At 42.4% G+C, this 12,181-nt stretch overlaps 1 protein-coding gene across 11 annotated transcripts in view; it reads left to right on the top strand.

Annotated features, from left to right (window-relative positions):
- The window catches only part of LAMB4 (laminin subunit beta 4), a 118,700-nt gene that overhangs the window by 65,915 nt on the left and 40,604 nt on the right, over positions 1-12,181 (top strand). For 10 of the 11 annotated variants that reach the window (XR_927421.2, XR_927422.2, XM_011515975.2 and 7 more), the window contains exons 22-25: positions 462-686; positions 1,453-1,673; positions 6,519-6,615; positions 8,440-8,815. Coding sequence is in view for 9 of the 11 variants with exons in the window: in XM_011515975.2 (XP_011514277.1) it covers positions 462-686; positions 1,453-1,673; positions 6,519-6,615; positions 8,440-8,815 (919 nt within the window). In the remaining 2 variants the exon portion in view is untranslated. Of the gene's footprint in view, positions 1-461; positions 687-1,452; positions 2,070-6,518; positions 6,616-8,439; positions 8,816-12,181 lie in introns of those variants that run through there. The other variant, NM_001318047.2, reaches the window with a different exon arrangement.

Here is a 12,181-nt window from a genome sequence, read left to right as displayed (position 1 = left end):
CATCTTCACTTCTAGAAGTGACAGCTATTGCTGTTTGGGACTTTCTCTTCAGGCCTGCTTTATTTTCACCTTAGTTCACCTCTAGGATCAACTGAGAGTGGGTTGCCCCAGGAGACCAGGGGCTGAGATTAGTCTTGGGTCCTGGGGCACGCTAGTGTGATGCTGATTATATAAGGATCTAGAAATCCTGTGCCCACAGCTCCATGGTATTTGAAGAAAGCCTGGAATCCATTCTCCACCAAACACTTTAGAGAGCCGAATAATCATTTTATTCTTTAAATGAATAATAATGAAAATGAAGGTTTTGTTTCACTTAGAACACTTTTCGTTATTCACCCCGAATGTGTGATTTCTCATTATTCCTAGAGGAGCCCAATAATTTTCTATTTACAACATCCATCTCCTCCTCTCTCCCAACACTGATACCTCACCCCATTCCTTTTCCTCCCACTTTCTTTCAGGTACTCAGTGTGGAGAATGCTCTACTGGTTTCTATGGAAATCCAAGAATTTCAGGAGCACCTTGCCAACCATGTGCCTGCAACAACAACATAGATGTAACCGATCCAGAGTCCTGCAGCCGGGTAACAGGGGAGTGCCTTCGATGTTTGCACAACACTCAGGGCGCAAACTGCCAGCTCTGCAAACCAGGTCACTATGGATCAGCCCTCAATCAGACCTGCAGAAGTAAGTCTGCAAAACTCCCAGGGGGAAATGTGTCAGCTGAGTGACAGCTCATAAGTGTGTTGTCAGCTCTCCCATGATCATTTCAGTTAGGCCAGTCCCAGCAGGCAAAAGCAGCACCCACTAGGTGACAGGGCTGTTGTACGGAACTCATCAACAGAAATTAGTGCATTGCAACCACTGGTATTCTCAGATGCAGCCACAATGTTCTCACTGGTGTTATTAGTTTGCCTTTTGTGTCTGTTGCCTGAAATACCTGTCCTAGTGGATTCAAAGCGTTGTTTCTCAGAGTTTAGTCCGCAGTTCACCTGTGCCAGAGCAGTGGGGAGGTGAGGTGTATTAACATGCAAATTCCTAGGCTGTACTTCAGACCTACTGAGTCAGAATCTCTGGGAGTGACGCCCAGGAATCTGCATTGTAACAAACTCATCATGTGACTGTAATGTGTACGTAAACCATTGTTTTCAAGTCATTTAAATAAATGGAACTTTGGTGAGTGACATGAGGGAAAAATAAGACTTTTAATCATCCTAACTGTGAGCTCTTGGAGCAAGTTCGACCACATGAACTTGCATTTGGGGAGATCAGAAACCATTAAATGGGTTCAACCTACATAGATTCTTTGGTAAATTCTTTACTATTATAAGGCGTTCATTCTTTGAGCCCCTTGGAGAAATGATACATCCAGGTCTAAAACGCTGTTTGTATGGTTTGCTAAATGCCACATTTATCATTGAATTTACCTCTGATGATGGTTTTGTCATCACAGGATGCTCCTGCCATGCTTCCGGCGTGAGTCCCATGGAGTGTCCCCCTGGTGGGGGAGCTTGCCTCTGTGACCCTGTCACTGGTGCATGTCCTTGTCTGCCGAATGTCACAGGCCTGGCCTGTGACCGTTGTGCTGATGGATACTGGAATCTGGTCCCTGGCAGAGGATGTCAGTCATGTGACTGTGACCCTAGGACCTCTCAAAGTAGCCACTGTGACCAGGCAAGATACTTTAAAGCTTACTAGTGCACTCAAAGTGAGCATGATAGTGAGACATGGTTTCTAAATGTGTAAAGAAAGTTTCTTTTATGTACTGTTGTTAATTAGTGCATTGAAACAGGATTGGCCTTACAGGGGATGGAGTCAGCCTCTATCAAGGAATGAAAACCAAAAAAAGAGAATGAGCATCTCAAAGTTCAGCTTCGCCTACTTCAGTTTTCTCTCTGTGACTGAGGAAGTCAGAATTCATACACAGTGAAACACAGACATCAGCCTCACCTTTCACTATTTCATACATGTAACCATAGGGAAGACCTAAGAAATAGTTAATCAGAAGAGATTATGAATCAGAATGAAAATAAACAGATACCTTCAAAACCCACAAGTCCATTAAAAAAACTGAGCTGTTGTTTCCTATTGCTCACCAATTGCTTTACATATGGGTAAAATAAGAAGTCTTCTTGACTTCCAGACTGGCATCAATCATATCTTAAGAATGTAGGCATGTGTACCAGGAGCAAATCTTCAATGTTTCATATACAACTAATACTACATAGATAGATGCACGTGTGATTTTTCAGTCAATAAACCAGTGGGCACAGAATTTTTAATGAGGATAACATTACTTGTGGGAAAAAAACTATTTGTTAATAACATGCTTAGTTTTTTTGGTGGTTGTTTTGTTTTTGTCTTTTGGCTTAATCTATTCTTTGAAACAATTTTCACATTAATAGAGTTTGGGGGAGAAAGGGTAAAAACAATGACAAGAAATGTTAGAAAAAGCCAAATTCACAATATAGGGATCAGGATTTAATTGGAATGAAAATGCGAATTTAAGAAACTGGAGTCTTTCCAATTAGTAAGCATGGCTCACCTCCAATTTCAGCTCCACTATTCAACCTATTATTCAAAGGTCAAGTCTTTTGAAGGTAGTTCTTATATGGAGAATGGGTTTTTCCTTCTCTTCTTTTTCTTTCTCTCCAATCCTCATCCACCAACACACACAAACACCATATCTTTTTTTTTTTTTTTTTTTTGAGACAAGAGTCTTGCTCTGTTGCCCAGGCCTGAGGGCAGTGGTATGATCTTGGCTCACTGCAACCTCTGCCTCCTGGGTTCAAGCGATTCTCCTGCGTCAGCCTCCTGAGTAGATGGGATTACAGGCGCCCACCACCACGCCCAGCTAATTTTTGTATTCTTAGTAGAGACAGGGTTTCACCATGTTGGCCAGGCTGGTTTCAAACTCCTGATCTCAAGTGATCCGCCCACCTCAGCCTCTCAGATTGCTAAGATTACAGGTGTGAGCCACGACGCCCAGCCCCCACAACATACCTTTTTAAAAATAAGCTTTTTATTTTAGAATATATTTGTGAAGTTGTAAAGAGAGAACAGAGAAAATAAACCCCATATCCAGTTTCTTCTATTATTAACACCTTATATTAATTTAATAACATTTGTCACTATGCATGAATATTGATACATTATTGCTAACAAATTTAGTCAGATTTCCTTAATTTTTACCTAATGTCCTTTTTCTGTTCCAGGAGTCCATTCAGAACACATTATATTTAGTCATCTTATTTCCTGAGGCTCCTCTTGGCTGCGACAGTTTCTCAGGCCTTCCTTATTTTGTAGAATGTCCATCAATTCAAATTGATCTGATATTCTTCTCATGATTAGACTGGGTTTATAGGTTCCGAAAACACCAGAGAAGTCAAGTGCCACTCTCATCACATCCTATCAGGGGTACATATTATTAACACGACTTATCCCTGTTAATGTCAGTCTTGGTCACCTGGCTGAAGCAGTGTTTGTCAGACTGTTATATCATCAAGTTACTCTTTTTCCTCCTTCTTCTACTGTGCTCTACGGAAGGAAGTCACTATGTGCAACCTACTTAAGGAGTAGGGAGCTATGCTCTTCCTCCTCGAGGACAGAGTATCTCCACAAATCATTGGAATTCTTCTGCACTGGAGATTTGTCTGTTGTCTTACGTTTATTCATTCATTCGACCATTTATTTATATCAGCATGGACTCATGGATATTTATACTTTTGGGGATAGTCCAACACTACTTTATTTTGTGGTTCAAATTGTTCCAGCTTTGGTCACTAGAAGATCTCTCAGTGGCTCCTGTGTCCCTTTGACATAGGCCAATACTGTAGAGTTTTTAAAAGCATTCCTTACTTTCTGGCACTGCAAAATATTTCAGGCTCATCTTATGTATTCTCTGCCCCAGTCCTAGAATCAGCTATTTATCTAGGGAGCACTGATTCCTTTACTAGAGAATGGTATTAGAAACCAAGATCTGGACACTGGATGGTCATGCCTGTTTTATAAGCTCCCCTCCACTCCCCACACCTGCAGCCACCAACCATGGAATAAAGTGGTAGATCTCCACGTGACCACCTGGCTTCCCAATTCTTGAGGGACTCCTAGTGCTCAAGACAACACTATGTGGCAAGTTTCTTAGACCTTTTGGGAAGCATGTTTGTAGCAGCATTCAACAAAAACCACAGTTCCAAGGTAGCCTTGAAGCTGAAAGTTAGATGGTATTGGTTTAACCAGGAAGCCCCTCATAACAAGGGTCCTTTGGGTTATTTGGTGCATAGGGGATCCCATGGGGGAACACTGGTCTCTGCAATCAAGAAACATGTTCACTGGAGTACGGGGAAGACGTGGATATTTAGATTCCCAGCTGTTTAAACAACTACTGATAGATGTCTCTATGTTAGCCAAGAGGTGGTTCCTGGTACATTCCCACAGAGAGATCCAAATGTGCCATCCAATATTTTCATCAACACTTTAGATGGAGTTGGAGAAACATGCTTCCCAAATTTGCAGATATTACAAAGCCGTAAGCTAATATGATAAAGACAGAACAAGATATCCCAATAGGCTGTCATGCAGGCTGGAAACAAGGAGATGAAATGTTAACAGGTTAAAAGTAAAGTTTTGCAATTGGGTTTTTTAAATCCCTTGCATAAATACGGGGTGGGAGTAATAACTTGGCACAGCTCTTGTGAGAAAAATCTGAGGATTTTCATTGCGTGCAGGCTTCAGTGAGCCAGCAGTGTGGCAGGGCTGCCAAAGAAGCGACGCCTGAACAGGCTGGAGTAGGGGGGTGCTGTGCCCAGGTTAAGGGCAGTTACTGTCCCATTATCTGTTCTACTGGCCTGGTGGTGCCAGGAGCATTGTTGTCATTTCTGAGCACCATATTTTAAACATTATACTGACAGACTAGTACGTGCCCAAAGGGAGACAACCAAGATAATGGACAGAACTATGCTATTCCGTGATGAAGGCTAGAGAGAATTAGAGGTGATGGGCCTGAAGAAAAGAAGCCAAGGCAGGTTGGGATGGCCATCTCTAGTTGGGAGAAGGACTGTAAGGGGAAAGAGGCAATTGCAAACTGGTTTGTGCAATTTCGTAAGGACACATAACAATGGGAACAAGTTAAAAGGTGGCAGATTCAACCCCGTCTCTACTAAAAATACAAAAAAATTAGCCAGGCATGGTGGTGGGTGCCTGTAGTCCCAGCTACTCGGGAGGCTGAGGCAGGAGAATGGTGTGAACCCGGGAGGTGGAGCTCGTAGTGAGTGGAGATCACGCCACTGCACTCCAGCTTGGGCGACTGAGCAAGACTCCATCTCAAAAAAAAAAAAAAAAAAAAAAAAAAGTGGCAGATTGTACTTCGGTATAAGAAAGCACTGCCCAACAATTGGGTCAATCAGCAGTACGACAGGCCTCGGGGCAACAAGCACCACCTAACTCCTTATATTTGAGCAGAAGCTGGCAGGAACTGCAAAGATATTGAAACGTGGCAGATCCAGGCCAGGTGTGGGTAATCCCAGCACTTTGGGAGGCTGAGGCAGGTGGGTCGCTTGAGGTCAGGAGTTCGAGACCAGCCTGGCCAACATGGTGAAACCTCATCTGTATTAAAAATACAAAAAATTGCCGGGTGTGGTGGTGCACACCTGTAGTCCCAGCTACTTGGGAGGTTGAGATGGGAGTAATCACTTGAACCTGGGAGGCAGAGGTTGCAGTGAGCTGAGGTTGCACCACTGCCGTACAGCCTGGGCAACAGAGCGAGACTCCGTCTCAAAATAAAAGAAAAGAAAAGGAAAGAAAAGTGGCAGATCCAGTCACTCTAAGAATCTAGCCACTTATTCACAGGAAACTTACGGAGTTGTTGTTTAAGCAGCTAATTTAGGACTACAACAATAGTGATTTGCTTTTATATTTTCTCCTGTTAATTTTCCAACCTCCTCAGTTTTCAGAAAAGCTGGTCAAGAGTTCAGTTGGGAGGGTAAAGAAAAGTTCAGCCCTCTCTGAAAAACACAGTTAAGTAACTCTCATTAAATCATTAAGCCTGAAGTACAAAAAAAAGATGTTTTTTTGAGCAAAACGCTAATCCAGTTGGTGAAAACTACATCATACATTCCATAATGAAAACATTACTTGACACATTAACTGATGAATGTTAGACCAGGTCTTTGGCCTCACTCACTTATGGAGGAACTCCCATAACAGTTGAGGAAAATAATCTGGCCCATTTCCCATTATGTGTTTTGTTTTCATTTACATCTGTGTATGTTTCCCAGTTTGGGCCACCTGTCCCTGAACAGCTGGAAGCAGGCGATATATTCAGGAGCTTTAGGCCAAAGCACATTAACTCCTGATCCTTGGTATTGTCGGGGGTGGCTGCTGGACATGGGAATCATCCTTCCTCCGCCTTTGCACAGCTGTATGTTCTAATTCACTGGAGGGGAAAATATTTCCTATTAAAATGCATTTTTTTTTAGACCATAAAACTTGTCAATTCCTCACCCATGACTGTTCTCACAGCTTACAGGCCAGTGTCCGTGTAAATTAGGTTACGGCGGGAAACGTTGCAGTGAGTGCCAGGAAAATTATTATGGTGATCCACCTGGGCGATGCATTCGTAAGTATTGGGATTTCTAAAAACTCATGCGTACAGTCAGCCTGGCCCTACCATGGACATGCTATGAACCAACTGAATTTTAAATTTCTTTTTTTGGTGCTTTTAATAAGGTGGACTTAGAAAACTCACAAAGTTTAATTCTACATTTTGAAAATAATCTTCCTATAGCCCTGCAAAAAGATTATTTTCCTCCTATGTTAAAAATTTAGCCTATATTAAAATTCGTAGCCTGTCTTAAAATTCCTCAAACTCATTACAAATGGAACAGTCAGCTTCCAAAAGAAGAAAATCCAAAGAAATATCAGGTATCATGGGCTTATCACCATGGTCAGCCATACATAGCCACGCATGGCAACTCTTTCCTCCTCTCCATTCCTTTATAAATGTGCCCTTGTGGCTAAAAAATATTGCTCATTCCCTTGCCCCATTCAAATGCACATTCTGAATGATTTTCTCTGGGCCCCACTTATTCAGTTTTCTAAGTGGAATTGCTGGGTTAAAACCCAGGGTGAAACTTTGGCTCTTGGAAAATCTATCTTAGAGCCTATTTCCCTGTGTCCGTCTACTATTTTGATAATCTTATTTCATAAAAATGCTTTCATCTTTTATAGAGAAGCAGTAGAAGAAACTGCAAATAATCAAGTCAGGCCACAGACCCCACTAAATCTCCTGGGGAAGAGCGGCTAAGGATGGGAAATGGCCTCCAGGTGATGAAGTGACATGACACCACCCCTCTGGACCAAGGCCAATGTGCTGGACAGATGAACTAGCTGAAGAGCCCTAGTGTGTTAACTAGTTTTTATTTGTAATTGGCATTATTTTTACATAAACTGACAAATGCTTTTTTTTTTTTTTTTTTTGAGACAGGGTCTCACTCTGGTTGCCTGTGCTGGAGTGCAGTGGCATGATCACAGCTCACTGCAGCTTCAGCCTCCCTGGGCTCAGGTGATCCTCCCACCTCAGCCTCCAGAGTAGCTGGGAATACATGTGTATGCCACCACACCTGGCTAATTTTTGTATTTTTTGTAGAGATAGGGTTTCACCATGTTGCTCATGCTGGTCTCGAACTCCTGGGCTCAAACAATCCACCTGCCTTAGCCTCCCAAAGTGCTGGGATTACAGGCATGAGCCACTGCACCCAGCCTCAAATGCATTTTTAAATTACTTGTTCCTTGCAGTTGGTCCAAAAACATAGGCTAGTGATTCCCTAACCTTTTGGAAATTGCAGTAAGATCAATAGATCTCCCTATCCTCTATCTTCAGGCTTGGTCAGAAACCTACTCAAAGAAAGTACCGTGTGGAGTCAGTAATTTTTTTAAATTAAGACAAAATGAATTTAATTTCCCCTCCTTTTTGGAAAATGAAATTGTTTTCCTTATGTAATGGAAGACAGCGTGGTCATCACACCCAAGCTGGGCTTTACTCAGAAGAAGTGTGACCATGGGACTTCTTAGAGAGTCTCGACACACCTGAACCACCCTCGGAGGCTGTAACAGCAGAGTTACTATCGTGTGTCCATCATTAAATCATACTTCTTACTCAAATAGATGAGGATCCCACTTGTAGATGCTTGCACTCACACAATAAAAACGTCTGATATTTGCCAAATTGAAATAGTAAACTGATTTCTTAGTGGAATATAGAGAGCCATGCTGTCTTATAATGGCTATTGCACAGATCTCTGAAATTATATTGGCTTTAAATATTCATCTTAGAAGTGTGAGTTGGGAAGATTTTCAGGAGAGAGGAAAAGACCTGATTCTTGAGTTAGTCATCAACAAAAGGCCCAGTGACATTCTCTGCTCCTTCTGTTTTCCTTTTTAGCATGTGATTGTAACAGGGCAGGTACCCAGAAGCCCATCTGTGATCCAGACACAGGCATGTGCCGCTGCCGGGAGGGTGTCAGCGGCCAGAGATGTGATCGCTGTGCCCGGGGACACAGCCAGGAATTCCCTACTTGTCTTCAATGTCACTTGTGCTTTGATCAGTGGGACCACACCATTTCTTCCCTCTCCAAAGCGGTGCAAGGGTTAATGAGACTGGCTGCTAACATGGAAGATAAAAGAGAGACCCTGCCTGTCTGTGAGGCAGACTTCAAAGACCTCAGAGGGAACGTGTCTGAAATAGAAAGGATTTTGAAACATCCTGTTTTCCCATCTGGGAAATTCTTAAAAGTCAAGGATTATCATGACTCTGTTAGGTAAGATTTATGCTCAAGTAACAGACAGCCAAACTCCTGATTTACCTTAACTCCCACCAAGCTTTAACATCGTCAGCCTTCAATTTAGAAATGTACCTATGTTGACTTTAGGGGACTGATAGTTGTTCAGTTAATAACCAGGCTGGGCCGGGCGCCATAGCTCACGCTTGTAATCCCAGCACTTTGGGAGGTTGAGGCGGGTGGATCACTTGAGGTCAGGAGTTCTACACCAGCCTGGCCAACATGGAGAAACCCCCTCTCTACTAAAAATACAAATATTAGCCAGGCATGGTGGCAGGTACCTGTAATCCCCACTACTTGGGAGGCTGAGGCAAGAGAATTGCTTGAACCCAGGAGGCGAAGGTTACAGTGACCCAAGATCATGCCATTGCACTGCAGCCTGGGCGACAAGAGTGAAACTCTGTCTCAAAAAAAAAAAAAAAACAGCTGGAAATCATGTATGTCTACTTTTTTCTCACCTAGTTAGGATTATATGTGATTTTTCCAGATGCCATTGATTGTAACAAAAAGACAGTCATTAATGGGGAAGCCCAAACTCAGTAAAGCTGAAAGATATAAAATTGGAAGTATGGTAGTTTCAAAAACAACATATTTTTTTCAATGATACACCTAGGGAAAATTTACCAAACCTTCCCAAGTTCTTCAGTTGTTTAGAAGCCTATACATTAATATGAAGTCTTATACCAAGTATGGTCATTTCTTGAAAATGCAAGCTCATTTTTACTACATATTACTGAATCTTTTTTTAAAATTTAACCATTTGTTGAGATTATGTTGATAGTTTTGGGCCACGGCTCAGCAAACTACAGCCCACAGGTGGAATCTGACACAGCCTTTGTTTATGTAAATAAAGTTTCCTTGGAGCACAGCCACACCCATTTATTTACCCCTCCTCTGTGGCTGCACTCTCTACAATGGCATAGTTGAGTAGTTATGACAGAGATGCTATGATTCCTAAGGCAAAGTTTGCCAACCTGTTAAGGGCAAAACCAGGATGAATTGGGTATAGTTTCTACCCCCATAGAAGCACACAGTCTGCTAAGGAACTCCAAAAGTGTGCTTATCTAGCAAAATATCCTTCCTCCCCAAGAAAAGGTCCTGGATTAAGGAATAGTTGAAGCTGCAGAGGCTCATGTCATATATAACATGAGTGTAAATATAAGGTAACTCATTATCTATAGGGAAATATCCCAGAAATATATGATAATTGCTTAAAAGGTGCACAAGGAAGAAGGTATCACCCACCTAGGTAGTTCAGGGAAAGGGCCACTGCATCATAAATGCAGTGACAGGGCCCAGGGAGGACAAATGGCCAGCCAGGGTCAAGCTGGCAGGTGACAACAGGCACATCTATACTTCTCTAAAGACTTCTGGGCTGGGCACAGTGGCTTTCCCCTGTAATCCCAGCACTTTGGGAGGCTGAGGCAGTAGGATCACTTGAGGCCAGGAGTTCGAGACCAGCCTGGGCTACATAGCAAAAGGATCATGTGAGCTCAGGAGTTCAAGGCTGCAGTGAACTATGATTGTGCCACTGCACTCCAGTCTGGATGATAGAATGAGACCCTGTCTCTAAAAACAAAAAAGCAATACAACTTCTGCGTTGCAAGATCTAGACCCCTATGTTAACAGATCTCCTCAATTTTCAAGAGATGTCAGACATCCATATTTTTACTGAACTATCCCCACTTCAAAATGTATACAGCTAATCCAATAGCACTTGTAAGAAGCCCTACTGTATAGCCCAAAGAAAACTTGTCTGAGAATGAGCTTTGGCCCATGGACCACAAGCTTGTGGTTAGACACCATTAGGAAAATGTCGGACAAAGCACAAAGAAAGCAGAATGAGCCAATCCACCATGGACGTTCTGGACAGAGACTGCAAGAGCCACAGGCAGAGCCAGAGAGAAAGAGCGAGAAAGAGGAGTGCCCAGCCCAGGTCTGGAGTGAGGAGAAAGCAGTGGCTGCTGAGCTTCTTCAACCAGCAGCCCAGAGGCCTGTTCCCTCCTAGCCCACCTGCCAAACTCCTACTTCTCTTTAACAGCCACACAAACATCACCTCCTCCCTGAAGCCTTTCCTGACTTCCTCACAGAGAAGCCTGTATTTCCTTCTCCATCTTCTCACCTCTTTATGCTCCTTTGCCATTGCCTCGCTGTGGGGCACCCTGGACAGGGCCTGCCTTCTCACGTGCTTGTCTTCTCCAGGCCTCATGTAGTTCTATTAAAAAAAATGTTGCTGGGTAAACTACAGGTGGAAGGGGAACAGGAGGACAAAGAACCCCAGGTGTCATGAGCATAAATTCAGAAGTCAAACTACCCGGTTTAAATCCACTTACTAAATGTGTGGCTTTCGGCAAGCTACTAAACTCCTCCAAGCTTCAATTGCTTCATCAAAAGAGAGAAAGTCTGGATTTCATAGGATTCTTGTGAGAATTACTCAAGACCCATCACTTAGCATAGTGTCCGGCATATGTAAGTGCTTAAGGAGTCCCAATTAGAGTAATTATCATTATTTTTATTGTTATTATTGTTAGCCTGAAGAATTGCAGTTGTGACAATTGGAGCCTGAAGGAAGAGTCTATAGATTAGAGGGGAGAGTTACAAAAGAAAATGGAAGGAAGCATTGCCATTGTGCCAAGATAAATTAGTCCCATAAATTCATTTTATAACTTCCCCCAACTGTACACTTCAAGATTTGCACAGTTTCTCCATCATGAGGAATGTGTTCATTATCCCCTCGAAGTAACAGTAGGTGCTAAACCCAGCAAATTGAAGCACAACAAAGGTGTACCCCATCAAAGAAGAAGGTGATGGAAAAAAACCCAGGGGAACACTCACCAGCAAGAAAACCTCCCTGTCACTAATGGAAAATAAGAGTTGGGACCCTGAACAGAAGTTACACTAAAAAGAACCTTGCTGAATGCAGATTGATTCTAAATGAAGACCTGATTTGACCCCAGGCTAAGTAAACGGTTCTATTTTACCATATGTTGAAAGCCAAAAGCTCCCTTAGATTGATTTAATTGAAGCATGTCTGAATGCATGTTTTGAAACCCAAAACGAAGAAAGACAGAGCATAAACAGTCAAAATGGAATGATTTGAGAGCCTTTATTCTACTAGACCTGGTATGCTGTCCATATTTTAAATGAATGTTGCAATAGTCCAGGAAGGTGAATTAAGATGAAAGAGATGAGACATAAACACAATTATAAACCGTCAAATGAAAAACTCGAGTAGAAGGAATCCCTTCTAATCAAGAATTCCTAACAATGAGGGCAATTTTGGTGGCATTTTTTTCACCAATATATCAAATGTAATACAAGCTTAACTACATTTACCCTTATTTC

The sequence above is a fragment of the Homo sapiens genome, chromosome 7 (genome assembly GCF_000001405.40).
Source record: "Homo sapiens chromosome 7, GRCh38.p14 Primary Assembly".
Taxonomy (NCBI): domain Eukaryota; kingdom Metazoa; phylum Chordata; class Mammalia; order Primates; family Hominidae; genus Homo; species Homo sapiens.
Note: the sequence above shows the minus strand (reverse complement) of the source record. Positions and strands in the feature narration are given on the sequence as shown.